Below are 27816 nucleotides of genomic sequence, written 5' to 3'. Positions count from 1 at the left end.
CCATTAGGATGCAATTCTTACTAAATCAGTGGCTCCAGCCAGGCGCGATGGCTCACATCTGTAACCCCAGCACTTTGGGAGGCCAATACAGGAAGATGGCTTGAGGCCTGGAGTTTGAAACCAACCTGGGCAACATGGTAAAGCCCCCATCTCTACAAAAAAAAAAAAAAAAAGAAAAAAATTAGCTGGGTGAGGTAGTGGTACACACCTGTGGTCCCAGCTACTCAGAAGGCTGTGGCAGGAGGATTGCTTGAGCCCAGGAGTTTGACATTGCAGTGAGCTATGACCGCAACACTGCACTCTATCCTGGAGGACAAAGGGAGACCCTGTAGACAGCTCGAGGAGCCACAATAAGCTTCTCACCCATGAAGCACTCCTGCCAAAAATGACGAATCCAATCAAGCCTTCACACCTGACAGTTTATAGGAAATACAAGGATAGAGGATCAAGTTAAACATCACAAGAAAACAGCCAAATCCAAAATGCGGAATACTCTGATCTGTTGACCGGTTCAAATTGTCAATATTATTGGGAGGAAAAAGTGGGAGGGCTGTTCTAGAATAGAGATTAAAGGGATATAACCAAATGCAATGACTGAATCTTGATTGAATCCTGGTTTAGAAAAATAACTGTCTTAGTCTGTTTGGACTGCTATAACAAAATACCATAAACTGGGCAGCTTATAAACAGCAGAAATTTATTTCTCATAGTCCTGGGGGCTGGGAAGTCTGAGAGCAAGGTGCTGGCAGTTTAGGAGTCTGGTGAGTTCTTGCTTCTTCAGGGATAGCATCTTCTCACTGCGTCCTCATGTGGTGGAAGAAGGAAGATCGCTCTCTGGGGTCCCTTTTATAAGGGCACAAATCCCATGTATGACTAACTCATAACCCAGTCATCTCCAAAAGGCTTCACCTCCAAATACCATTACATTAGTTATTACGTTTTCAACATATAAATTTTGAAGAGATAAACATTCCGTCCTTAACCATAAAAGTGTTTTCTTGGTGTGTGACAATTAGGGCAATTTTAATAGGTCTGAAGGCTAGGTGCGGTGGCTCAGGCCTGTAATCCCAGCACTTTGGGAGGCCGAAGTCGGCATATTTTGAGACCAGCCTGGCCAACAGGGCGCATCCCTGTGTCTACAAAAAAATACAAAAGTCAGCTCGGTGTGGTGGTATGCACCTGTAGTCCCAGTTACTCGGGAGGCTAAGGTGGGAGGATTGCTTGAGCCCAGTATGCTGAGGTTGCAGTGAGACACTGCACTCCAGCAAGGGCAACAGAGCAAGATTGTGTCTCAAAAAACAAAAAAAAAGCATACAAAGTCTAGGAATGTGGAGTTAATTTTCTTAGGGGTGGCTGTGGCAGTGTAGTTCTGTAAGGGAATGTCCTTGCTCTGAAGAGAAACACCCTGGGAAGCACTAAGGAGGGAAGGACATGATGACGGCAACTTATTTTTAAATGACTCAGGAGGAAAACTAATAGATGAAATACGGCAAAACATTAACATTGTTGAATCTAGATGGTGAGTGTAAGGGAGTTTGTTGTCCTCTACTCTTCGGTATGACTGAACATTTTTATAGTAAAATATTAGAATAAATGATGGTCACGGTGTCATTTGCTTTGGGTGGGTGACTCTCGAGATCACTGAGCTTCCCTATCGTTCACGGAATCACCATTTACCTATTGCAAGAAAGAAAAGGTGTCTGTGCCTGGAATAGTACCCTTCCCTGAAAGAGTATTGCTTTCTCTCTCTTTGGTTTTCTGAGTGTGCCACTCTAGATAAAACTAACTCAAGCCTTTATCATCATTCCAAATGCTTTGAGACCACAGAGTGAAGTGGTTTCCCAAAGATAAACTGAATCAAAGAGAACACTGCTCTTATGGCTGTGGGTACAGTCATCAGCGTGCTGAGGGAGTGGGGATTATTTGCGGTGTCAGACCACGTTCAAAATGCTGTTTGATTATAAAAGGAAATCAGTTCTCTTCAGCCCTGAATGAGCAGCCGTATCATATATTGGTTGCTTTTCCTTAAGACATAAATATCCGCAGTGGTCCATCAGCTACCCTGATTTCATTTTGAAATGTTGTAGTCTGTCTGTAAAATTCATTCCTCCACCCGCCCACCCACTTGCTCAGGGATAGGAGTTATGGGTAATGGGATAGGGAGGAAAACATGATGCAACCAAAACCTGGAAGCACATGTGTGATGTTATAAGCAAGAACCGTATCGCTCGATGAGGCTATGGAAAGGAAGAAAGCCACATCATCCGTCTATAGCAGCATTTCTAAACCTTCAATAATTCTTAAAAGTTTGTGATTTCTGTCTTGTCTGAGGATCATTGTTAACTATAGGACAACTATCTGATCTCCCTTAAATCCATTTACTTAAAAAAAACAACAACATTAAATGCCTACTTTGGTCTCATCCTAAACATTATTACCCATAAAATAATGGCTTTAATGTGCTAAGTATATTTTTTCAAAGACATTAATATGTATAGCTAGATCATCCTCCCATATTTTGAACAGTATATGTAATCAGTGACATGTATACAGGAATCTACTTTTCAGAAAAGGACTTGGGGGCAAATGGATTGCGCTAAAAACATCGGCTTATATGTGTGCCTGTGTATGAAACATATGTATTTTAACAACCTTCAACATTTTATCCTTTCCTTCTTTCTGTGAAGGCCTTTAATAGTTAAGTCAGTGATCTAAACAGCTTTGTACAGTTACTTTTCCGGAGTCCAAAAGATGTATGATTCAGGGAATATTTTGCTGATTAGAACATGAGCAGAAGTCCTGAATACTCAGAGATCACATATCTATTAAGTCTGGATGCAAAAAGAACCTTTTGGTGCAAATATATCAAATATGCTTCAAAAATTGAGAATAGGAAATGTAATATGAAGCGATTTAAAATGTTTTATAGGTAAGGTTTTGGGTCCATTGAGATTTTTCTCAGCACTTTATGTTTTAGTCTTAAAGAAATGGTACCTTGAGGCCACCTCCTCATTTCCCTTTGAATAAATCATCCTGATTTTCATAATGAGTTGCTTTCTTGGTGCAGACCTGTGGGCGTGCAGGTAGGTGTTTCAAATGTACTTTTGTTTCTTCTGTCCTTCATTTGGCAAATATTTATTGCATGCCTACAACATCTAGCTCTTGGGTGCCGGGGAGACAATAGAAAGCAAAAAAATGGTTCCTCCTCAGGAGCTTACAGTGTGGGAGACAGACACTAATAATCTCCCAAATCAACAGCAAATTGCCCCCAAGGAAGTAGTGTTAGAGCTGAGATCTGTGTAGGGGATTGAAGAGAATGAACTGGGCAAAGGGAACGTTCACTGCGAAGGCCCCTTTTGTGGCAGGGCAGGTAGGGGAGCAACTCCCTTCCAAGGAACTGGAAGAATGTCAGAGTGGCTGGAGTCTGCAGCCACCTGGGGCTGGGACACAGCCATGGTGAGGAGTTTGGTCTTTGCCCAATGGGGAACCACTGAAGGGCTTAAATTCCTCAAGAAAATGGAGGTTCTGTCAGCAATGAAAAAGGGAGAAGTGGGTATTAGGTATACAGGCAATAGTGCTTACAGAAACACCCCAAACATACCTACCCAAAACACAACCCAGATTTTCCCATTTCCCACTGTCCCAAACCTGCTTGTGGTTCACTGTTTGTCACCTCAGTGAATGGCCTCACCATCCATCCTGTAGCTCATGCTAAAAATCTAGGTGTCAGCCATATCTGCCTCTTCATCCCCCATACCTAGTCCATGGCCAAGCTCTGTCCACCCCACCTGTATGAATCCATCAGTGTTGCTATAAAGGAATACCTGAGGCTGGGTCATTTATTTTTAAAAAGAGGTTTATTCAGCTCATTGTCCACTTCCTTGGGGCAATTAGCCATTGATTTGGGAGATGACTTGATTAGCATCTATCTCCCGTAGCTCCATGAGGAGGAACAATGTCTGTTTTGTTCTCCAACGCCTCCCCAGCATTTAAAGCCTAGATGTCATTAAGCATGCAATAAATATATGTCAAATGAAAGACAGAGGCAACTAAGTATAAGAAGCATGGCACCAGCATCTTCTGGTGAGGACCTCAGGAAGCTTCCATTCATGGCAGAGGGAGAGGCCAGCAGGAATCATTTGGCAAGAGAGAGAGCAGTGGTCAGGGGAGGAGAAGGTGACAGGCTCTTTTTGACAATCAATTCTCTCGGGAACTAATAGAACTCACTCACTACTGCCAAGAACTCACTACTGCCAGGACAGCACCAAGCCTTTCATGAGGGATCAGCCTCCATGACCCAAATACTCCCACCAGGCCCCACTTTCAACATTGGGGGTCACATTTCAATATGAGGTTTGGAAGGGTCAAACCATATCCAAACTATATCATCCCGTCTTAAACATCTCTGGAACTCATTCAATTCTCCATCTCTACCTTCAAATTCATGCGATTCTCTGTTGCCTGAACTACTGCCATGGTTCCTCAACTGCCCCGTGAGCCTTGTGCCCCTACAATCTGTTTTCCGCACAAAGTGATGTTTTCAAAATACAAATCTGATCATGGCTCTCCTCTGCCTAAAGTCCAGGCAGAGATCTAGGGAAAATCTCAGCCCAAGTCGATCATGGCGGACTCCTTCCACTTGCCGTTGACTGGGTTTCGTTGTGGCCAGAGACTTACTTCTGGCCATTGAAACCTGCAGGCATTTCTTCTGCGGAGCTTCTGGGAAAGGTAGTCATGTATTTCAAAAGGGACCACTGGAAGAAAGGGATACTTTTAATTTTGTGAGATCCTGGGTGTGCCGCGGCCATCTTGCTACCAGCCTGAAAGTGCAATTCCAGGGACTGCAAGGAAAGCAGAGCCTGAAGACCAGGGCACCACCTCTGGAGACAATCCTCCCATGGGAGAGAAATCCCCTTGCTAAGTAAGCCGGTTTGAGTTGGCTTTCCTGCCATGTGCAGTCTGATGCTGGTGTGCGTCTGAGTCATCCGGTGCCAAGTACGCAGTTGATGACATGCATTGGAAGCTCAGTGGATAGATGTGAGCTGGAGAAATACCTATGTGGGTCCTCGGTGAAAACTGAAGGTTGGGGAAAGGAGGAAAGCAGAAAAAAAGCTTTGCAGAGGATAATGAGCTTCAAAGAAGATTGGGAGGAAATGGGCCACAGAGGTGCCAAAGGAGACCACCTGTGGCCTGAAAAAAGGATTTCCTGCTTGCCTGCCTTTCTGTATTAAGACTCGTATTAAAAGGCATGATAACATTCCTAAATGTGTCCTAAGGGGACAAAAGGAAGTGGCTCAGAAGTGTTTTCAGCTAGGGGAGGAAGCTGGGTTTCAGAACCAACCCTTGGGATTAACATCAGGAGAATTTGGCTTCCTGCCCTTTAATAAGTCACTTACCAGAATCTCAGAGGCAACCAAAAATGGACCAAACAACCCGGCCAGAGAATGCGGCTTCTGAGTGTAAGACACTGAGGCGGTGTCACAGACAGGTCAGTGCCTCTGGTGTCTAGAAAAGGGGCAGGGGCTTGCGGGGAGAGGGCTGTCGCGCAAGTGTGGAAGTGGAGTGCCGAGATTGGACGGACTAACCACGGGGAGGCACCGTTGGTAAGAACAGGCCTGGAAAGCAGCTGGCAGCAGTCACAGAATTAGGCCAGAGAGAGACCTCCATGGGAAAGCAGACGGGAGGTCCAAATGAGAGCGTGTGAATTAAAAAAAAAAAAAAAAAAAAAGACCAGGAACTATGTTGCTATGGGAGAGGTTCTCCAACTTCAGTGTGCGCCAGAATCAGCAGCGAACTGTGACAGATGTGGATTCCTGGTCCTCAGCCTCCCCCCTCCCCCCAGCCCCCGGCCCCCACTCGGATGCTGCAGGTCGGGGCCGACACACACAGATTTACAAAGCTCCTCTGGCTGCTCTAGTGCCCAGGGCCCACTTGGAGCTGAGCTCCCTTCAGCTCCAGCCTTCAGCTCCTGCACTGATGGAGAGAACGGGCGTTTCTTGATGCCACGCCAAGTGTCCTTCTGACCCCTGGTACCCTGTGGGCCCGACGTGGCGGCCTCGGGCCTCGCAGCGCCGCCCAACGCAGTAGGACCTAGCGATGGGAGCCACTGGGCAGTCGCGCGGCCCGGCCCTCCCCAAAAGCTTGGCTTGCAGACGTTAGCGTATGCCCCAGCCCCTGCGCATGGCGGTTGCGCTGTGGGCTGTGCGAATAAACCTCCGGGAAGGTCTCCGTGGTGACTGGCAGACGCCCTGGCCAATTGTGACCCGGCGCTTGTTTGTCTCTGCCCCATCCCTCCCCGGGGGGCCGATACTTCCATGACTGACAGGCCGTCCCAGGCGCTGTTACGTAAGGGGAGGGTCAAGTGCAGTCCCACCCAAACCGGGGTGATTTGATTTGCAGGACCGAGTGTGTTCTTCCCAACGCCCCCGGAAGAACGTCTTTGACGGGCAGGTGTGAGAGCCAGTTGGCGCCGGGAGGCCAGGCGGAAGCCTCGGGCCCCAGGATCGTGCAGCAGGGGGCGGAGCCCGCTGCCGAGGGCAGGGCAGGGCAGGGCAGGGCGGGGTGGGGCGGGGCGGGGATCAAGCAGGGGCAGGGCTGGCGCTGCGGCGGGAGATGCTGTCGGGCCGCGGCGGCGCTTGGCAGCCAGGAGCTCTGCATTGAAGGCACTGGGGTGAGGCTTACTGCCCGGCAGGCTGGTGGGTACGCGAGGGCTGAGGTGTCTGTAAATCTGGCCGCCAGCCTCCACGGGCCCGGCATTTGTCCATCTTTCTAGGCGCTCGCGACTCGGCGACGGCGGCCGCAGTGGGACACGGAGGCGGGGCCGGGCACCTGTGCGCGTTTGCAGGCACCTGCTGCGCTGGCCGCCTCGCAGCCCGGGACTGCTGCTGGGGACTGCGGCTGGAGCTGGGCTGGCCCGGCCCGAGGGAGAGGGGGGCCCAGCTGGCTCGCCCCGGCCCGTGCCCGCCCTCCCCGGCCGGGTCCCGACCCCGAGCTCTGGTTAAGGGGGCGTCGCCGGGCCCCAGAGCCCCCCCACTGGAGGGGCCCGCGGCTCCCGGGCCAGCATCGAGCTAGCTGCGAGGCCAGGACAGGGCCCCCGCCTTGCATCACCTCGAGACAGGTTTGTCCAGATTCCCTGAGTGCTCAGAGACGGGTTTCCGCCCGCGGTGAGGGTGCCGGTCCGAGGCCGCCGCGGGTCCCGGCTGTCCCCAGCGAGCCTGGCCCGGGCCGTTTTCATCTTTTTTTTTCTGGCCCCTGCTCTGTCTCCTCTTAACGTGTAATTTCTTAAGTCCGATTCGGGGTGATGTGAGTGCGCTGTGGCATGTAGAGTAACAGCAGCACTCATGTTTTAGCCTAGTTTTAGCTCTGCCACGCACTGTCATTCGCGCAGGCTGAAGACCCAGACTTCTCAGCTGGGTGATGTAAAGGAATGCAGCCGTGGCCAAACAGGCAGAAATTCTAAAATTGTTTCCAAGTGACAAGGATGTAACATGTCTTGCTTCCATCTATGTCATTCCTCTCAGAACATGTATGCTGTGCTTGTCCTAGACTAGACCCTGAAAAGTGTGCTACAGTTTCTCGTGATTATGTTGCTGCTGGAAACATTGGATTAAAAGATCCATAGCAAAGTTAGGCAGCAGAAGACAATACCTCCTGCTTAATGACAGGCAGAACTGGGGACAAAATTTACTGGATTCTTAAAGAGAATCCTAACGCGTTAGACCTTTAAGAGACTTTACAGGTTTGCACCAGCCCATTAAATGTATGTTGTGGAGCACACCACTGTGTCCCAAGGGATCCGGTCCCGTGTTAGGTGTGTCCTAGAGGACACTGGGGTGCTGCACATTACTGCTAGATCTGAAAATCAGTGTCTTCATTTGAGCCAAAGGGGAACATGCCCCCGCACATTTTTGATATCTCAAGTATATTCAGTGTGTCATACTCACCTTTAAAGGCAGATTTGCGGAGAACTGTTGTTACTTATTGCATGTTATCCATGCTAGTAGAAGAGCCAGGATCTTCATTCCTCTGATTTAATTACTGGGTGGCATTTTCTCTTGGAAAACAAAACAGCAGTAATGGGCACTGGCAAGGTATGGATGACCTGGGTTGGGTACGTCCCTGGATGTCACAAGCTCGTCAGAGAAGACAAATTATTGCTGATTGGGGACATTTAGTACATGGTTTGCTCATGATCTGTTTAAGAAATTAGGAAAACGTTGCTTAGTTTTGACCCTTTTCACCTTCAGCCGTTTGATTGGTGCAAGTAGGAATTCAGAGAAGGAGCTCTGCTTTAAAGGTAACAGAGCCTGGGGGGAAATACCAGGGCAGGGAAGTTGCTGTTCTTACAGCTGGGCTTGGCTGCTTTTCCTTTGCTTCTTTGTATTTTTAGTAAATGACCCACTGACTTTATGACCTTTGAGACATGCTTTCTTATCCACGACTTGAAGCTTCGGCTGGAAGATCTGTACTTGTGAAATGTCTCTCTTGCGTGCCTGTGTTGCATTTGTCTGGATTGCTTGGCAGTTCCTTAAGTACATGATCCTGCAGTTTCTATATGTTTCGAAGTTGTAGAAGGCAGTTTATTGGGGGATGGTACTGACAGGACTCAGGTAACTACTTTTGTCGTCTTAGTGACATACTTGTGCTGTGCCTTCCTGTTTTCTCTTATTTCTTTGGCTAATACTTTGCTGGAGGAATCATTTTGTACTCAGGTGAGTTGAGGCAGCGCTTAAATCAGCCTCCTTGTATCTATTGTTTGTTCCCATAACCCTGGGAACAGTGATACAACTTATGTGTATGTGGGTACAGTGCATTCTGAGTCTGGCTTTCCTGTTAGTTAAATGCCGAGATGTGCTAGTAACAACTGTTGTCCGTATCTTCTGAATTTCTGGCACCAAAGCTCATCTGTGTCACTGAGTAATCTGAATCCTGGCCAAGGGACCTGGTGCACAGATTCTTATAGACATCTAAGTGTGAAAGAAATTAGAACCAGAAAAGGAGGTGGGTATAGAAGGAAACTATTTCTGAAGATGCCTGAAGACCTTTTCCTAGGTTTTTATAACCCCTTGTTATATAACATTATATTGTATATCCAGGGTGTCATAATTAGTTATTCATCATTTCAGAAGTCTTAACTGTTGGCCGGGCGTGGTGGCTCATGCCCGTAATCCCAGCACTTTGGGAGGCTGAGGCAGGTGGATCACTTGAGGTCAGGAGTTCGAGACCAGCCTGGCCAACATGGTGAAACCCTGTCTCTACTAAAGATACAAAACTTAGCTGGGCATGGTGGCAGGCACCTGTAATCCCAGCTACTCAGGAGGCTGAGGCAGGAGAATCGCTTGAACCCAGGAGGTGGAGGTTGCAGTGAGCCGAGATCACACCACTGCACTCCAGCCTGGGCAACAGAGTGAGACTCCATCTTAAAAAAAAAAAAAAGTCTTAATGGTTGGTGTTGGCATGTTTCTATGTCTTCCCGTCTTGTTTTAAGGTAAAGTGAATGCCGAAGACAGAAGATTTGGATGATACACCACTGACTTTCTTTGTTTGGAATACACGTTATGAACCCTTTCTGGAGCATGTCTACAAGCTCTGTACGCAAAGTAGGTATAGTTGATAAATTCAGTAAGAAAACCCATTTGCTTCTGTGTCTGAAAATAGGGTCAGAATGAAGGCTAAAATAATCTGTCACGGTCACCTGTAATCTTGACAAAATTACCTGGTTTTTCTAGTTAAGGGTTTACTCTTGAGAAATAATTATTTTGTTGGTTGAAGTCTGTTTCTGAGACTAGGATTGCATCTCAAATAGAAATCGTTCTGGTCATCACAATTCTAAGATGATTTAGGTTATATTTACACATGATGAAATTTGTAACATTGTAGTTTTCTACTAAACTTCAAGGTTCTACGGTTAGAACAGCTGTGGGAAAGGCTAGTCTAATATCATTAAATCAGACTTGAGGGGCACTAATTTAATTTTTCTAAATAAAATGATTTTTTAAAAATATATTTTCATTTTAGGAAAGGTTAAAATAGGCAAACAATAAGAAAATAAAAACCAGCTGGGCACGGTGGCTCATGCTTGTAATCCCCAGCACTTTGAGAGGCCGAGGCGGGCAGATCACGAGGTCAGGAGATCGAGACCATCCTGACTAACATGGTGAAACCCCGTCTCTACTAAATATACAAAAAAATTAGCTGGGCATGGTGGCGGGCGCCTGTTGTCCCAGCTTCTCAGGAAGCTGAGGCAGGAGAATGGCGTCAACCCAGGAGGCAAAGCTTGCTTGCAGTGAGCTGAGATCGCGCCACTGCACTCCAGCCTGGGCAACAGAGCAAGACTCCATCTCAAAAAGAAAAAAAAAAAAAAAAAACTATAATCTCACCTCTAGGAGAACAAACACCACTATTACTTTTTTTCTATATACATGACATCTCTTCCTTACTTGTACATAGTAATGGGGTACAAGTTTAGTTTTGCTACATTGGCATATTGCATTGTGCTGAATTCAGGGCCTTTAGATGCCCCCATCACTGGAGCAATGCATATGATATACATGTTTTTATATAGCTAATTAAACAGCGTTTGGTTGTACTTGCGCCAAGGAAGTACCTATGAGATGGTAGTTTAGTCTCTGACTCATGTCGACCTTTGTCTTTGACGAAGGATGACAGTTTATGCTGGTGATATTTGAAATGTTGAAACATACCCAGTAGGGACAAATCAAAATCAGACCCAGGCAAGTGAGAGAATAGCTTCATTCTTTGTTTCTAACCTAAGTGCTAACAGGCAGTGACTGATTTCAGTCATCCACATTATTTTGAGCTTCTTAGCACCTAACCTTCTGTAGCATGTAAGTGCTGGGGGACTTTTCTAGCCTTGTACAGTTGTCTAATTGCTTAGTAACCCCTTGCCCTCTTTTTGGGGCCACTAGGAAAAAACATTTCTTTCTGTGTTTCAGTTAATCCTGTACACACTGATTGTATCATCCTTATAGGATGAGTTTCCCTATATGAAAGAGTTTCTCTAATGCTTTGGTCTTGCTTCAGGTTTGTCTTCTCTTTATATGACCTGCCTGCCCAAAGGACTTTCTAGTCATCTTGGTCATGGTGTTAGAATGTGCTTGTAAAGGAGTAATTCCAGCATTTAGGCCATGGAGCTAATAATGTACTCTTGTGATTTAAGAATCATCCTAACAGATATTCTTACAACTTCATCTTGTATAGCGATCTGAAGGTGAAGAGAAGACATTAACAGGGGACGTGAAAACCAGTCCTCCACGAACTGCACCAAAGAAACAGCTGCCTTCTATTCCCAAAAATGCTTTGCCCATAACTAAGCCTACATCTCCTGCCCCAGCAGCACAGTCAACAAATGGCACGCATGCGTCCTATGGACCCTTCTACCTGGAATACTCTCTTCTTGCAGAATTGTAAGTCCTTAACAAACTATTTGGTTAAATTAGGAATGATCCTTTAAAGTGAAGAATGAAATTTATTCTGATGGATGCAGTAAAGGGCAGACATTTAATCTCAAAGCTCAAACCTGTCCCTTTCCAGTATCAGACTTAATAAATATAAAACTATAGGCTATTGCTGGTGATAAAATGTTTCTTAACCAAGACCTAGGTAGAGAGATAAAAATAGCCTCTCTTAAAGATTCTTTAGAGCTCGGGTGAATAAGATTTAAAGGCAGAGGGTACTTTAATTTCCATGTCTGTTTTGGAGAGTAACAAAAGGAAGAAACTAAGGCTTATTAAGAACCTACAGTAGATTGGCCGGGCATGGCGGCTCACGCCTATAATCCTAGCACTTTGGGAGGCCCAGGCAGGTGGATCACGAGGTTCAGGAGTTCAAGACCAGCCTGGCCAAGATGGTGAAACCCCGTCTCTACTAAAAATACAAAAATTAGCCAGGTTTGATGGCAGGCGCCTGTAATCCCAGCTACTCGGGAGGCTGAGGCAGAGAATTGCTTGAAGTCGGGAGGTGGAGGTTGCAGTGAGCCGAGATTGTGCCATTGCACTCCAGCCTGGGCGATAAAGCGAAACCCCGTCTCAAAGAACCTACAGTAGATTAGGAACTTAATAAATTTAGTCTTCGTTTATGTGAAGTGAGGAATTCGCCTCCTGGAGGTTTTTCTAGAGAGTAGGACAGTGGGAGAGTGGCTGTCTCTGCCTTCTTGGGTCAGACCCATCTGGAGGGTGGTGCTCCATTTGGTTGTCGCCTTGTAGGCAGCCTCCTGACAGATGGAGGAGAAGGCCTAGCAGGGAGGGACCAGGAAGGCCAGTCCTTAGGGATCCACAGTTGAAGGAACTGGAGAAGTTTTCTTGGAGAAGAGACAGCTTAAGCACGTATTAAAGTTGTCTTAATATATTTGAAGGTCTGTCACAAGGAAGGATCTTATTCTGTATGACCCCCAAAGGCAGGACTTAGCAATTCTAGGGAAGAGACAAAGATGTGGGCTCCATGTAAGGAAGACGCTGACTGGTCACCGAGGTCTGCAGCTGGGCTGCAGTTGCACCTGGTTGTGGAGTGCAAGAAGCCAAGCAGGGTGCGGAGTGCTGGCAGCGACCCTGTGGTGCCTGGCACACACGGGGGCTCCAGCACTGCACAGACGCAGATGGCATTTCATTAGAGAATTTGTTAAAAGGACAGAAAGTTTGGAGAATTCTTAATTTCCATCATTTAAAAATTCCTTTGTATACAGTTATTTTAAAAGCATCCTTGAGCCAGGCACAGTGGCTTATGCCTGTAATCCCAGCTACTTGGGAGACTGACGCAGGAGGATCACTGGAACCCAGGAGTTCAAGACCAGCCTGGGCAATAGAGTGACCCCGTCTCTAAAAAAAAAATTAAAAATTTCCCAGCTGCAGACCTATAGTCCCGGCTACTCAGGAGGCTGAAGTGGGAGGATCATTTGAGCTCTGCAATGTGAGACAAGTGTAGGCCATATAGTGAGACCTCATCTTTTTTTCTTTTTTTTGAGATGGAGTCTCACTGTGTCACCCAGGCTGGGGTGCAGTGGCACAATCTCAGCTTACTGCAGCCTCTGCCTCCTCAGAGCCTCTGCCTCTGGATTCTCCTGCTTCAGCCTCTGGAGTAGCTGGGACTACAGGTGTGCGCCACCACACCCGGCTAATTTTTGTAGTTTTAGTAAGAGACTGGATTTCACCATGTTGGCTAGGCTGGTCTCAAACTCCTGACCTCAAGTGATCTGCCTGCCTTGGCGCCTCCCAAAGGGCTGAGATTACAGGCATGAGACATCGCAGACAGCCTATGAGACCTCATCTTTTTTTTTTTAAACCAAAAAAAAAAAAAAAAAAAGCATCCTTGACCCCTCCCTGGATGTATTAATGTTGTAATGGTCAGTGGGTCTGAGGCCCCAGTGTAACTTTTTAACTGTATACAAAGGCTGGGTATGATTTGGTAGTAATGGCCCCTTTGGCTCTATAATGGAGGCCTTGTGTTTGAGGCTGGGCAGTGAGTTGGACAGGCGTCTATTGGGGTGATTAAATCTGTATTAGAACTGCCTTTTCTGGCAAACTTCACTGTAGTAGAGATACAGCTGCCAGCCATGTTGCTACTGACATGCTGAATTTTAGCAACTTAAAAATGGACCGGATAATAACTCAAAAATGATGAAAAGTAAGTGAATGGAAAGTAGGTAATAAAAATGATAAACTTAAGGCCTGATAAACTAGTTCTTGATAGAATCCAGGATTGGTAGGTTAATGTGATCAGAATGGCTGTGGGTGGGTAACTGGGTCCCAGAAGAACCAGTGTAGCCTTTGTGTCAATACACTTATCGTTTCTTGTTTTCAGCACCCAGTTTTCCATTCCCTGGCAAGGCCCACAGAGTTCAGGTCTCTGCATCAGGGTGTCCATTTGAGAGCAGGGCGTGTGAGAGCCGCACAAGGATGCCTGCCCTCCCCAGGCAGTACTGCGAGTCTGAACATTGCCTTCTGCTGTGGGATCTTGTGATTAAAATGTAAAATGACAACTTTGTGACCCAATTCCAAGAAATCTTAATTTATCTAACATTGTATTTTAAAAGTTTTTGAATGATCATCCAGGCACAAAAGCATAATTTTACAAATACTCTCATTGACCTCAGCTGTACAGAACTTACCTCAGGTTGCATTATTCGGAATTACCTATAGGCTGGTTTCCAAGATGATGTTTTGGAAGAGCGAATTTCTGGGAGGAAACTTTATTCTTCATTTATTCCTGTTTGGCTTTAGTTCTTACTGTGGGGCCCCTGCTGGCCTGCTGGTTTCTCTGTGAGCTGCTGCTATGAGGCCAGTAGTGGGCAGCGATCAGGGCTGGGGCTCTTTCCTGAGTTGTGTCAGGTGAGAGATTGTGAGAACTTGGCTTGCAGGGTTTGGGCATCAGCTGCCCATTGAGGGGCCGTTCATTGTCTCAAAGTGAATGTGGGGTGGTTTGATCTGCATGTGTCATTTGTATCCACACAAGTTAATTATTCTGCTTTTGTTGTAGTACCTTGGTTGTGAAGCAGAAGCTACCAGGCGTCTATGTGCAGCCATCTTATCGCTCTGCATTAAGTAAGATGAGGATTCACTCTTAATTTATGGGCACATTTAGTTCCTCCCACACAAATTTAGGCCTTAACTCTTTTATTTTTTCCTACAGTGTGGTTTGGAGTAATATTCATACGGCATGGACTTTACCAAGATGGCGTATTTAAGTTTACAGTTTACATCCCTGATAACTATCCAGATGGTGACTGTCCAGTAAGTTGGAGACACAGTCTGGCTTTATTTGTGGATCAGCGAGAAGGGCTGAAAGGGCTTACAGCTTTCCTGGTTCTTTTCCTGACCTGGTACCTTTATGATTTATCTACCCAGTAGTTGTCCAGGGGGACTTCTGTGCTTTGCAGCAGCTTCCGGCATGCCATCAGAGCTTTGTTTCTCTGCTCAGGGTCTGCAAGGGAGGCTGGCTGCCTGCCATCCTGCAGCACTCACCAGGTGAATGGTGGCCCTCAGGCTCTAGTGGAGGAGAGGGAGTTTTCCCCGCTTCATTGCAAAATTTAGTTTTTCAGGAAAATGGTAAAAGTAGTTAAGTAGCCCTCTTGAGGCAGCTCTTTAGCTTTAAATAACGTGACTGCCTTGTCCTGAAGCTCTTTTTATCACGATTCCTATGGGTCTCATAAGCGCCACTGCTTCCATTAAAGGACATGTCTCTCTTTATTTAAATACAGCGCTTGGTGTTCGATATTCCTGTCTTTCACCCGCTAGTTGATCCCACCTCAGGTGAGCTGGATGTGAAGAGAGCATTTGCAAAATGGAGGTAAGTAAATAAAGTGTTTCTTTTAGTGACATAATACAGCAAGAGGACGCCTCGGTAATCACGCCATGTTTCCCTTTAGGCGGAACCATAATCATATTTGGCAGGTATTAATGTATGCAAGGAGAGTTTTCTACAAGATTGATACAGCAAGCCCCCTGAACCCAGAGGCTGCAGTACTGTATGTAACTTTTGCTTTGTTATTTAAAATAAATTTGAAGATGCAGCTAAGTAGATTAAGTTAGTAACTTTTTGACTTAAACTTTTAACACAGGTATGAAAAAGATATTCAGCTTTTTAAAAGTAAAGTTGTTGACAGTGTTAAGGTGTGCACTGCTCGTTTGTTTGACCAACCTAAAATAGAAGACCCCTATGCAATTAGGTAAGTGGTGCATCCCCCAAGTGAACTGTCCACTGTCCTTTCCAATACACTGCTTCCTTTCTCCAGGTGGTCTCAGAATAGGGATATAAAAAGGCACATGCATAAGCTGTTAGCCTACAACCTTTATAACTTGGTGCCAACTCGATTTCTGATGCCTCTTGAGGCTCTTCTCTTAAACAAAAAGCTTCACATCTGACAGGCTGTGCCGACAGCACATTCTCTGGTGACTTTGGTTTCCCAGGGATCCTTGTGATATATTTATTCATTCCCATGTCAGGACTCTTCTTTTCAGCTGGCAGTTTTAGCTGGAGCCCCTCTTAAACTGCCAAACCCTCATTGACATTCAGATGTGGTAAAAGGAGGGAAACTGAATAGTGTGAGAATGGTGGGTTCCTGAAGCACTATGACATTTGATTTAAGGAACAGTGTCTGGAGGAGTATTGGGAATGGACGAATTGGTGATTTTGCTCTTTGGCAACATTGGTAGTGCTTAGGAAGGCAGTGGAGTATAGCTATTAAGAGCTTGGACTCATGGCCAGGCATGGTGGCTTATGCCAGTAATCCTAGCACTTTGGGAAGCCGAGGTGGGTGGATCACGAGGTCAGGAGTTCAAGACCAGCCTGACCAATATGGCCAAACCCCATCTCTACTAAAAATACAAAAATTGGTCAGGTGCAGTGGCTCACACTTGTAATCCCAGCACTTTGGGAGGCCGAGGCGGGGAGATCACCCGAAGTTGGGAGTTCGAGACCAGCCTGACCAACATGGAGAAACCCCGTCTCTATTAAAAATACAAAATACAAAATTAGCTGGGTGTGGGTGGTGCATGCCTGTAATCCCAGCTACTCAGGAAGGCTGAGGCAGGAGAATCACTTGAACCAGGGAGGCAGAAGTTGCAGTGAGCCAAGATCTTGGCATTGCACTCCAGGTACCTGTAGTCCCAGCGAGGCTGAAGCAGGAGAATGGCCTGAATCTAGGAGGCGGAGGTTGCAGTGAGCCGAGATCACACCACTGCACTCCAGCCTGGGTGACAGAACTAGACTCAGTCTCAAAAAAAAGAGCTTGGAGTCAGCAGATGGACTACGTGGCTTTTGTACTTTTTAGCTCTGGTAACCCAGAGCAATTAATTTACTCTGCTTTGCTGTCTTAATCTTTAAATAACAGTACTTCAAGGGGTGGTGTGAGGCTTAAATGAGATCATTCATGTATGAGGGATAGTTATGTGAGAAAATTAATTAGATAATGTCTAAAACATACATGTCGACAACAATAAAAAATACTGTGCTTTATTAAGTTAGGGGAATTGGCTTAAAACTGCAAAATGAATGTTATAGAAATTTAGTGAGCCAACAAATAGTTTTTAAATACTTTTCTCTTCCTTAAGCTTTTCTCCATGGAATCCTTCTGTACATGATGAAGCCAGAGAAAAGATGCTGACTCAGAAAGTAAGTGGATAACAACTTATGAAATGGCTAACTCATTGTTTCTTTTCTAAAATGTCTTCATTTGGAGACTGCTCATTACATACAAGTAACTTTTTTTGGGAAACAAGTTTGTACAGTGCTGAAATCTCCTCACCAGTAATTTTTTAAATATCTGTTTTGATTGTGCCTAGAAGAAGCCTGAAGAACAGCACAATAAAAGTGTTCATGTTGCTGGCCTGTCATGGGTAAAGCCTGGCTCAGTACAGCCTTTCAGTAAAGAAGAGAAAACAGTGGCGACTTAAGAGATGGTGAATCTGGTGCACCATGCACTTTCCTGCTAGACTCTGGCCTAGTTCAAGCTGACCAATGGCAGAGGACTGCCTGAAGAGTAAAACTGTGTGAACAATGACTGACTGCCAGTGTTTTCCATGTATGCATAGGTTCTAACAGCAGGGTTTGGAAACCTGTCTCTAAGTAATGCATTACTTCTGTCAGAAGTGTCTTAGGGTGGTTATCTAGTTCAGTACTCCAAATTATTGGGGACCTTGAGGCTTAAGTAAGTATTTTTCTGAATATAATGCTAAAGGTAAGTTGCATTCATTTAAACTAATAGAGCAGACAGAATTCAGCACTACTTAATAGTTTATAAATCAGTGGTTTCAGTTGTATATATGTTAGGAAATGGAGAGGTATAGAGAGAGCAGGTTCCATAGCTCAGCACTTTTAAGTGGAAGATCATTTGAATCTCAGTCTTCAGCCTGCACTGATTTGTAGCCTGCACTGTCTTACTGATTTACAAACTGAAATCACTGAGAAATGTCTTTAGTTCAGTGAGAAGAAACCAGAACACTTGTTCCTAGTGTTGTGTTGTTTTTTTTAAGCAAATTACTTACTGTATTTTTATGGCAGGAGGGAGAAAAAGTGTTACAACGGTTTCTAATGAAGTCCGGTATTTAAATGATAAATGACTAATGTGTTTAGTAGAGACAAAATAAACCAATAAATGATTGTTCTTTGCCATTTATGCAGGAAACTACCCTTTTCTCAATATAACCAAACAAAGGCTAATTTATAAATGCTTTATTGAAAAATACACTTATCTTCATATAAAATTACAGTAGCAGTATCTTGAGAAGTTTTATAAATATTTTTGCAGAACACTATTCTAATTGAACAATGTAAGTTCCATATTTCTCTCAGCAATATGAAGTTACCTAGTAACTTTGTTTATACTGATTCAATTTACAATTGAATTTTCTCCCTAATAAGATTATTAATTTGACTTGAAAACTGCTGGAACAATAGTGATTAATAAAGATATGTATAGATAATTCAGCTGTTAAATAACATTTTCTAATTTGTATAAATGGTACTATGGTACTAATAAAAACCTAAATTCTCCAACCAATTTTTTTAAACTGCCAGGAACACCCAAAAATATTTTTAAATATATCACCTTAATAGACATTTCTTTTAGATAACTCCCTCCTAAAGGAAGAGGTCATAAGTTTTCATATTAATCCCCTCAATTCAACTTGATTAAAATCTTTTCTTAGCTGGTTGATCCCTATATAACAAAAAACTGGAGAATTTAAAACATTCCCAAAAGGTGGCTATAGGGGTTTTAACATTTTAAAAAAATATAAAAGCATTAAAGAAAATATTGGATGTTTAGCCTGGAAGTTTTGTATTTAATAAAGTTCACATTGTAGAAAGTGCTATCACAAATATACAGCAAAATCTGGGTTACAAAATCATGCATTTTACAGCCCTAAAGTGCCTCCACTTATACAGGTTCACTCAGACATTGCACACCCGAACAATCAAGGACTTTTCACACTGCACCACACCGAATGGGGAGAGGGAAGATGTGCACAAAGGGAACGGGAGACGAGGGCTAATGACCTAGGACCTCCAAACCTGGGTGTGCTCTCCTTTGTCAGGAATGCAAAAAATCACACACTCCTACCAGGTGTTTTAGGACAAAATACCTAATTTTTGTTTTGCTTTTTATGAGGACTACAGCTGACCACAAAACAGGTAGGATTGAACTTGAAACACAGTTCTTCTGTTGGAGTACGTCAACAGAAGCCTCCTATGCTCACGTTTGGGTACACATCATTTTCTTGCAGTATTTCTAAAAGCTTTGCCAGAGTCAAAAATCCAAGTTTGGATTCTAAGCAGCCTTGACAGTAATCACTGAATGGTAGGGAAAAAAAGACAGTTGGGATGAATTAAAATGTTCTAAGGACACTGGAAGGAGTTAAGTCCCATTTCTCACCAAAATGTCCCCTCATGTTACTAACAGGCTGTAACTCATCAGCTGGATTAAGGAAAAAAGCTCCATAATCTAGATGCATTAAAGGCTGCTGCTAAACAGATTTTGTGAAGAGTTTAATACAAGAGACTAACCTCAGTGGGAACCACGGTCATTAGCTACATCTTGGAGACGGCGTAATAAGGCAGAATGATTTTCTGGGCAAATTCTTTTTGCAGGTGATTCACTTCCATCTTCCAAAAGAATTCCTCTCTTTTTAGTAGGAGTTTCTCCTGTGCGTATCATACTATTAATTTCTCTCAGTCTCTATGGTGGGAAAAAGATACAAAAATTTTAAAATGCAAATGCACATAGCTCAGTATTAAGTCAAAGAATCTCAAATGAGTTAAGCAGTTTACCCTGGAAGAGTTTGAACACATCTACAGAGAAAAGAAACACTAAGTTACATAACCTGCCAACTTTACTTTTCAGCTGGCTGAGGCCGATGGCTATTTGAGAAGGGGCTGAGTAGTTCTATTTTTAACAAGCTCTTCCACAGGCACTTTTGACCTGTAGGTCAATTATACATGTCTATAATTTGTGAGTTCACAAATTTGTGATTTTTTTTACAATTAGGGAGCATTACATTGCTATCTGATAGTCACTTAGACACATCTTTTTCTCTTTTTTAAAGTACAACTTTATACAATATTCCCTTTTTTTCAGTCTAATGTTACTCAGTTTTTAGCAGCCATTCTCAACTGGGATTTCACTAGAAAAGTAGGCCTTAATCCCCCCCTAAGGTATCCATTGTAGCTAATAAATTAGTAAGATCTAGAATGGTACTATCCTTGGGAGAATTGAGGATTAAAGTTACTCAAATTATTTTCTGGACAGTGGCTCAGATGAGGAGCTGCAATTGAGAAAGACACTGCCAGAATGTCAGAAAGACTGGGGCTGGCTGTACAGCACCTTTAGCATTCAGTTTCTCCAAAGCCTCTAAAAGTCGTCTGTCACATTATTTTCTGCTAGTTTGTTGGTTAAAATTCTTTTTCATGTGCTGCTTCATCCATGTTTGCTTACAGAAAGCATACTAAGCAAATTCACAGATATCTATTATAGGAAATTGTAAACATACAAAAGTAGAGAAGCATAATGCATCCTCACATACCTATTCCTCTACTTCAGCATGTTTGGCCAGCCTTGTTTGATTTATACTCTGATTCACTTCCATTCCCCAGATTATTTTAAAACAAATCCCAGACATATTTTATCATGACACTTGTTATTTTTATTCTTTAAAGTAATAAATGTTTTGGGGGTTTTAATGAAAATCAGTGTTCTTTATTATCAACAGATGTACCTTCACAAGTGTTTTTCATTTTTTTTTTTTTTTTAATTAACAATAGAAATGGGGTTGCACTATGTTGTCCAAGCTGGTCTTGAATTCCTGGGCTCAAGCAATCCTCCTGCTTTGGCCTCCTAATGTGCTGGGAACAGGCATGAGCCACTGCACCTGGCCACAAAATCTTAAGCATCTGAAGAAAGCTTTCCTTCAATTCTTTTTCTAGCCCCCTTTCTGCCTTCCTAAGAGTCTGGTCTGCATTTGCTATCTCTGCAGTCTCCCATTTGCTTGAATATTTCTTACACTGTTTACTGTATACATTGTTAATTGTGTATAAGCAATGCTACCATAATTTATTTTTCAACAAGTCATACCAGTGCACTGACACTGCTCTGTCAAGTATCACTAATGATCAGTCTTCATCTTAACTGATCTTGTATAGTATTTGATAATTATTTTCTCATAGTAGTCTAAATGTTAGTACGTTATAGATTGGTTCTAGACATAAGCTACTTCTTGCTTTGTAATATTCTCCCCCTTCTTGCTTTGTAATATTCTCCCCGTAAGTTTCAGCTATCACCTATTACGTCAAGATGACAAATCTTTCTCCAACCAAGAGTCTAATAATCGCTATCATTTTACTGGACAGACTCCCAATTCTGTGCTAGAAATACCTACAGTCGGATAAAACTGTTCCTCTGAAAAAATCCCTCATACTCCCTTGTCAGCCTATCCCAAACCACCACTGATGTTCTTGTCCAATAGTTTTGCCTTTTCCACAATGTCACAGAAATGGAATCATAAGTAGCCTACTGAATCCAGTGTCTTTCACTTAAGCATTGATGCATTTGAGATTTATCTACATTGAATATATCAGTTCCTTTTTATTGCAAAGTAGCAGTCGATTGTCTGGATGCACCACAGCTTATTTATATGCATTCACCAGCTGAAGGACGTTTGGGTTGTTTCCCACTTTTTGGCAATTAGGAAGAAAGTCACTATAAACAGTCATGTACGTGATTTTGTCTAAACATAAGTTTCCATTTCATTTGTGTAAATACCTAGGAATGAGATTGCTGGTTGTATAATGGTATGTTTAAGAAACAACTTTCCACAGTGGCGATGCCATTTTGCGTTCACACCAGCAATATGTAAAATTGTTCCACATTGTTGTCAGAACTTACGATTTGTCACTTTTTGGATTTTAGCCATTCTAACAGGCATGTAATGGGTGAAGTGTGTTCAAATCTTTTGCCCACTTTTACATTTGGTGGTTTTCCTACTGAATTTTGAGAATTCTTTAGATACTGTAGATATACAAATGCTTCATCAGATATGGAACGTGTACAGATTTTCTAATAGTCTATGGCTGGTTTTTTAATTCTCTTAACAGTGTCTCAAATAGCAGAAATTATTCATTTTGATAAAATCCATTTTAACAGTATTTTACGGATTGTGCTTTTGATGTTGTATATAAAATTTTCCCATAAAACATGTTCACTAAGATTTTCTGTTGTCTTCTAGAGGTTTTGTAGTTTGAGATTTTACATTTATGTCTGTGGTTCATTTTTAGTTTTTGTATATAGTGCAGGGTATGGGAACAAGTTTACTATTATTTTGTTATATGCACATCCAATTGTTCCAGCACCATCTGTTGAAAAGGCTATCCTTTCTCTACCAAATTGCCTTTGCACCTTTGTTGAAAATCAGTTTACCATACATGTGTTGTCTATTTCAGGACTCTGTTCTGTTCTATTGATCTCTGTGTCTATACTTCCACCAACACTACTGTCTTGATTACTGTGGTGTTATAATACAGATATTTTGTGTACCTTCATAATTAGTGTGAATCCTCCACCTTTGAATTATTTTAGCTATTCGAGTTCTTTGCCTTGTAAATGACAAATTTTAGAATCAGTTTTTTACATAAATCTGTTTGGATTTTGACTGAAATTGGTTTGAAATTATAGATCAATTGGGAGAAAACTGCTGTTTTATTTTCCATGAATTGGAAACTAAGGTATTATTTTCATTCAATGTCATGAACACATTTCTGTATCTTCTCAGGCTTTAATTTCTCTCACCAAGCTTCTATAGTTTTCAGGATATATGTGTTGCATAGTTTTTATCATACCTACCCCTAAGTAATTTTAAAATGTTATGGTATTCAATTTTTTATTTTACTTCTGATTGTTCACTGCTAGCATATAGAAATACATTTGATTTTTGTATGTTGATCACATAACCTCCCTTATTAGTTCCAGTAGCTTTTTGTGGATTCTTTGTGATTTTCCTATGTAGACAATCCAGGCTGTATGGCTTTTCTTGTCTTATTGCACATGCTAGGACTCCCAGTTACAATGTTGAACAGGGGTAGTGAGAGTGGACATTGTTGCCTTGTTCTTGATCACAGGGGCAAGGCATTCAGTCTATCACCATTAAGTATGATATCTGTAGATGCTTTTGGTAAATGTTTACCAAGCTGAGGAAGTTCCTTGAGAGTTTTTACATTAATGAATGTTGGATTTTGTCAGATGCTTTCCTTCAAACACTAAGATCATTTATCACCTTCACTTTTTGGGAGAGTTTCTATAGAATTGGCATTATTTCTTCCTTAAATGTTTGGTAGCATTTACCAATGAAGCCATCTGGGCCTACAGTTTTCTCTGACAGGAGGTTTTTAAACCACAAATTAATTTCTTTAGTAGATACAGGGGCTACTGAGACTACTACTTGAGTTTTATTAGTTTGTATCTTTCAAGAATTTGTCTATTTCATGTGCATTGTCACATTTATTGGCATTAAAGTTTTGAAACAGGGTCTCACTCTGTTGCCCAGGATGGAGTGCAGGGGTGCCATCACAGCTCACTGCAGCCTTGACCACGCAGGCTCTAGCAACCCTCCCACCTCAGCCTCCCAAGTAACTGGGACTATAGGCACACCTCACCAACCCCACCACACCTGGCTTTTTTTTTTTTTTTTTTTTCAGAGACAAGGTCTTGCTATGTTGCCCAGGCTGGTCTTGAACTACTGGGCTCAAGGATCCTTCTGCCTTGGTCTCCCAAAGTGCTGGGATTACAGGCATGAGCCACGACATCTGGCTGGCATTACGTTGTTCTTTATCTTTCATTATACTTTTAATGTATACTAGTAATGTGTCATTTCTTTTCCTGATTATTCTGTACATAGAGGAATCAATTTTTAAAATCATCTCCCAAAATACCTAGGTGGTTTTTTGTTTTTGTTTTTGTTTTTTTTTAGATGGTCTCATTCTGTCACTCAGGCTGGAGTGTAGTAATGTGAGCATGGCTCACTGTAGCCTCAACCACCTGGGCTCAAGCCATCCTTCCACCTTATCCTCCGGAGTAGCTGGAACCACAGGTGTACAGCACCACACCCAGTTAAATTTTTTTTTTTTAAAGTAGAGACAAGGTCTTGCCACGTTACCAGGCTGGTCTCGAACTCCTGAGCTCAGGCAGTCCACCCACCTCAGCCTCCCAAAGTGCTGAGATTACAGGCATGAGACACAGCACCCAGCCTCCAAAAAAACCGAGCTTTTGTTTGCCTTGGTTTTTCTCTGCTTTACAGTTTTCCATTTCAGTGAGTCCTACACTTTTTCTACTTTCTTAAGCTGAAATCTTAGGTCACTAATTTGAGACCTTTTTTCTTTTGGAACATAGGTGTATGTATTTCTCTCTTAGCACTGTTTTAGCTACATCCCACAAATTTTAATATTTTGGATTTTCATTTTCATTTAGTTCAAAATATTTTCTAATTTCTCTTGTGCTTTCTTTAACCAATAGAAATATATAATTTAGGTTCCAAGAATTGGGGGATTTTCCAGGTATCTTTTATTGATTTCTGATTTAATGCCATTGTGATAGTGAAAACACAGTATTTCAACCCTTTTAACATTTATCGAGACTTGTTTTATGGTCCAGAATGTAGTCTATGTTGGTAAATGTTCTCTCTGCACTTGATTTGTTAGAGAGTGTTCTATAAATGTCAATCAGTTGATAATGTCTACATCTTCTGTATCCTTAGTGATTTTCTCTATTTGTTGTACCAATTATGTTGAAATCTCTTGACTACCAGTTTTTTTTTTTTATTTAGGGTTATATGTCCTCTTTATAATAGGAAACGACCCTCTTTGTCCTGATAATATTTTTTGCTCTGAAATCTACTTTCTCTGATATTAATACAGCCACTCCAACTTTCTTTTCATGAGTGGTAGCATGGTATAACCTTTTCCACCCTTCCAGCTTTATTGAGATATAATTCTTATACCGTATTATTCAACCATTTGAAGTGTACAGCTCCATGGCTTTTAGTATGTTCCCAGAGTTCCCAGAGCAGCCATCACTACATTCTATTTTTGAATTCTTTCATCACCCCAGAAACTTCTTGTTCATAAGCAGAAACTCTATTCCCCACAACCCTTGGCAACCATGAATCTCCTTTCTGCTTCTAGATATTTGCCCATTCTGGACAACTCATATAAATGGAATCATAAAATATGTTCTCTTTTGTGACTGGCTTCTTTCACTTAACGATGTTTTCAAGGTCCATTCATATTGTAGCATGTATCAGTACTTCATCCTTTTTATTGCCAAGTAAATATTCCTTTTATGGATATACATTTTTATATTTAAAGTATATAACTTACAAACAACATATAGTTTGGTCCTGCTTTTTTGTCCAGTCAGATAAATTCTAACTATTAATTGGTACATTTAGACCATTTACATTTAAATGCTATTTTCCTGTATGTTCCTTTTTTCCTCCTTTTTAAGCCACCTTTTGAGTATTATCATTCCAATTCATCTGCTTTGTCTATTACCTGCTATTATTCTGTTCTTTTTTTCCATTTAACTCTGTTAATCCATTTAGAATTTATAGGTTACAGGATGAGAGTCTAATTTAAGCCGTCAGAATCATTTCCTCCAACTCCATTTGCTTTTTGGGGCTGTTACTGCCAATTTATGTTTCCAGGTTTCATAACCAGTCCTACTAGGAATATCACTGGAATTAGACTAAGCCTATATAACAGAGAAAGTATATCTTTTAAATATTTGGTCTTCTTATTCAGAATCGCTGGTATGTCTTCATTTATTCCAGTTTTCATAAGTTTTATAAATTCATTCCAAAGCACGTGACACCTTTACACCTTTTTTTTTTTTTTTTTACTATGATAGGAAAAGTGTCTCCATTATTACATTTTCTGTTTTTCTTTGGAGACGGAGTCTTGCTCTTGTCCCCCAGGCTGGAGTGCAATGGCACGATCTCAGCTCACTGCAAACTTTGCCTCCGGGATTCAAGCGATTCTGAGTAGCTGGGATTACAGGTGTCCACCACCATGCCCGGCTAATTTTTTTGTACTTTTAGCAGAGATGGGGTTTCACCATGTTGGCCAAGCTGATCTTGAACTCCTGACCTCAGGTGATCCACCCATCTCGGCCTCCCAAAGTGCTGGGATTACAGGCATGAGCCACCACACCTGGCCCATTATTACATTTTCTAACAGATTTTTGCTGTTCTTGTTTACTTGTTTTCCTCAACTTTTTTTTCCAAACAGACAGGGTTTCTCACTTTATTGCCCAGGCTGGAGTGTGGTGGCACGACCATAGCTCACCGCAGCCTTGAACTCTTGGGCTCAGCCTCCTGAGTAGCTACAACTACAGGTGCATGGCACCATGCTCAGCTAATTTTTATTTGTTGTAGGGATGGGGTCTTATGTTGCCTGAGCCGTTCTCCAACTCCTGGCCTCAAGCAATCTTCCCACCCCAGCCTGCCAAAATGTTGGGATTACAGGCGTGAGGCACTGCACCCGGACTGTTTTCCTCAACTTTTTAAAAGATTGCAAGCCTACAAAGAGTTGAAAAAAATAGTACACTGAGCAGCCACTTATCAATCATTAATGTCTAAGAGTTGCTTTCACTCTCTCCCTACCTAAATATATTGCAACCAACCCGTTTGAAAGTAAGCTGCAGACACTGGGACACTTTACCTCTGAATACTTTCAGCACAGTCTCCTACATAATCTGCTAGGCATCATCAACACCAAAGAAACTTTTAAAAAAAAATACACTGAAGGCCACATTCAAATTTTCCTCAAAATGTCCTTTATAGCAACGTTTTCCTATGCAGGATCAAAAATCATGCATTGCATTTGGATGTCGTGTCTCCCTAGTCTCCTCAATGATACCTTCCCCGTCCTCTTACCATACTGACCTTTTTTTGAAGAGTTCAGGCCATATATATATGTGTATTTCTAAGCAACCGTTTTTTTTTTTTTTTTTGAGACAGTGAGTTTCGCTTTTGTCACCCAGGCTGGAGTGCAATGGCGCGATCTCTGCTCACTGCAACCTCCACCTCCTGGGTTCAAGCTATTTTCCTGCCTTAGCCTCCCGAGTAGCTGGGATTACAGGTGCATGCCACCACACCCAGCTAATTTTTGTATTTTTAATAGAGATGAGGTTTCACCCTGTTGACTAGGCTGGTCTTGAACTCCTGACCTCAGGTGATCTGCCCACTGTGGCCTCCCAAAGTGTTGGGATTACAGGTGTGAGCCACAACGCCCAGCCTCTAAGCAACCTTTATCAATAAAAATCTCATTATGTAAGGGCCTTCACAATCCAGTTCCACTCGCTAACATAGCATGATGCCCGTAATTAAGCTTTGGATCACTGTCTGCCTCAAGGACACTGTTTTCTTCCCCTTAACCTGCTTCCTGCTGAGTGCCCTTCCATACCTCAACAGCTCCCTGACTTTTCAACATTAAGGCCTGACTCAAGCTTCCTTCCCCTTCTTAGAATGAGGTGGCTGTTGCCACATACATCTGTGCTAATATGACTATTGCACTGCAATGTCAAAAATGTCAACTTCTCCCATTAGCCAGAGTCCTGAGGACACTGCCTGTCCCAGAAACAGGCCTTTGGTAAGGAATCCAAAATTTCTTTCCCTAACAAATGTGGAAAATTGTTACAAATGGGATAAACACAAATTTCAGGTTTACAGCAAAATGTACAAATAGGAGAGGGAATAAAAAGAAATCCAAATCCCTTACCCTGTTTCCCACCCTAAAATTCCACCCCCTCCCCCTCAAAAAAGG

The 27816-nt window shown here is 42.7% G+C and overlaps 2 protein-coding genes and 1 long non-coding RNA gene across 20 annotated transcripts in view, besides 9 other annotated features; 1 reads left to right on the top strand and 2 right to left on the bottom strand.

Moving 5' to 3' along the window:
- Window positions 1-3838: 3838 nt before the first annotated feature.
- On the bottom strand, window positions 3839-5437 carry LOC124903690 (uncharacterized). Its single transcript, XR_007065069.1, has 2 exons — window positions 5397-5437; window positions 3839-5076 (listed from the first exon to the last, which is right to left on the bottom strand). It is a non-coding gene; the product is annotated as an uncharacterized LOC124903690 (long non-coding RNA).
- AKTIP (AKT interacting protein) lies at window positions 5405-18777 on the top strand. Of its 12 annotated transcripts, none has more exons than XM_017023566.2 (10): window positions 5405-5488; window positions 9488-9599; window positions 11221-11426; window positions 14491-14555; window positions 14644-14744; window positions 15212-15300; window positions 15380-15478; window positions 15572-15679; window positions 17064-17124; window positions 17298-18777. In XM_017023566.2, the coding sequence occupies exons 2-10, from the start codon at window positions 9558-9560 to the stop codon at window positions 17403-17405; spliced, it is 879 nt and encodes a 292-aa protein (XP_016879055.1). In that variant the 5' UTR covers window positions 5405-5488; window positions 9488-9557; the 3' UTR covers window positions 17406-18777. The 12 variants fall into 12 exon arrangements, with proteins under 12 accessions (XP_016879055.1, XP_005256155.1, XP_047290442.1 ...); XM_005256098.6 differs by having other exon boundaries at window positions 17295-18777; XM_047434486.1 differs by lacking the exon at window positions 5405-5488 and adding an exon at window positions 5930-6450.
- Window positions 5441-5530: a silencer, noted in NCBI's record as "silent region_7500". NCBI's record gives its function as "represses an Ori minimal core promoter by ATAC-STARR-seq in GM12878 lymphoblastoid cells {active_cell/tissue: GM12878}" and the evidence as "EXISTENCE:reporter gene assay evidence [ECO:0000049][PMID:35858748]".
- Window positions 5851-5950: an enhancer, noted in NCBI's record as "active region_10843". NCBI's record gives its function as "activates an Ori minimal core promoter by ATAC-STARR-seq in GM12878 lymphoblastoid cells {active_cell/tissue: GM12878}" and the evidence as "EXISTENCE:reporter gene assay evidence [ECO:0000049][PMID:35858748]".
- Window positions 6251-6490: a silencer, noted in NCBI's record as "silent region_7499". NCBI's record gives its function as "represses an Ori minimal core promoter by ATAC-STARR-seq in GM12878 lymphoblastoid cells {active_cell/tissue: GM12878}" and the evidence as "EXISTENCE:reporter gene assay evidence [ECO:0000049][PMID:35858748]".
- Window positions 6251-6910: a biological region, named in NCBI's record as "H3K27ac hESC enhancer GRCh37_chr16:53536819-53537318".
- Window positions 6411-6910: an enhancer, noted in NCBI's record as "H3K27ac hESC enhancer chr16:53536819-53537318 (GRCh37/hg19 assembly coordinates)". NCBI's record gives its function as "activates a minimal SCP1, AML or CMV promoter by ChIP-STARR-seq in naive H9 embryonic stem cells {active_cell/tissue: H9 hESC(naive)}" and the evidence as "EXISTENCE:reporter gene assay evidence [ECO:0000049][PMID:30033119]".
- Window positions 6511-6580: a silencer, noted in NCBI's record as "silent region_7498". NCBI's record gives its function as "represses an Ori minimal core promoter by ATAC-STARR-seq in GM12878 lymphoblastoid cells {active_cell/tissue: GM12878}" and the evidence as "EXISTENCE:reporter gene assay evidence [ECO:0000049][PMID:35858748]".
- Window positions 6841-7140: a silencer, noted in NCBI's record as "silent region_7497". NCBI's record gives its function as "represses an Ori minimal core promoter by ATAC-STARR-seq in GM12878 lymphoblastoid cells {active_cell/tissue: GM12878}" and the evidence as "EXISTENCE:reporter gene assay evidence [ECO:0000049][PMID:35858748]".
- Window positions 6841-7412: a biological region, named in NCBI's record as "H3K27ac hESC enhancer GRCh37_chr16:53536317-53536818".
- Window positions 6911-7412: an enhancer, noted in NCBI's record as "H3K27ac hESC enhancer chr16:53536317-53536818 (GRCh37/hg19 assembly coordinates)". NCBI's record gives its function as "activates a minimal SCP1, AML or CMV promoter by ChIP-STARR-seq in naive and primed H9 embryonic stem cells {active_cell/tissue: H9 hESC(naive and primed)}" and the evidence as "EXISTENCE:reporter gene assay evidence [ECO:0000049][PMID:30033119]".
- The window catches only part of RBL2 (RB transcriptional corepressor like 2), a 57178-nt gene continuing 47530 nt past the window's right edge, over window positions 18169-27816 (bottom strand). For 6 of the 7 annotated variants that reach the window (NM_005611.4, NM_001323609.2, NM_001323610.2 and 3 more), the window contains one exon: window positions 18169-19687. In NM_005611.4, coding sequence (NP_005602.3) covers window positions 19517-19687 — 171 coding nt within the window. In that variant the 3' untranslated portion in view covers window positions 18169-19516. The remainder of the gene's footprint in view (window positions 19688-27816) is intronic. The other variant, NM_001323608.2, reaches the window with a different exon arrangement.

This window comes from Homo sapiens, chromosome 16 (assembly GCF_000001405.40).
Source record: "Homo sapiens chromosome 16, GRCh38.p14 Primary Assembly".
In the NCBI taxonomy this organism is placed as follows: Eukaryota; Metazoa; Chordata; class Mammalia; order Primates; family Hominidae; genus Homo; species Homo sapiens.
Note: the sequence above shows the minus strand (reverse complement) of the source record. Positions and strands in the feature narration are given on the sequence as shown.

Coding starts and splice junctions, on each gene's coding strand:
- AKTIP (XM_005256098.6), top strand. CDS start 9,558: ATGAACCCTTTCTGGAGCATGTCTACAAGCTCTGTACGCAAA. Junction 14,745..15,211: donor ATCCAGATGGTGACTGTCCA/GTAAGTTGGAGA, acceptor ATTTAAATACAG/CGCTTGGTGTTCGATATTCC. Junction 15,479..15,571: donor AACCCAGAGGCTGCAGTACT/GTATGTAACTTT, acceptor CTTTTAACACAG/GTATGAAAAAGATATTCAGC.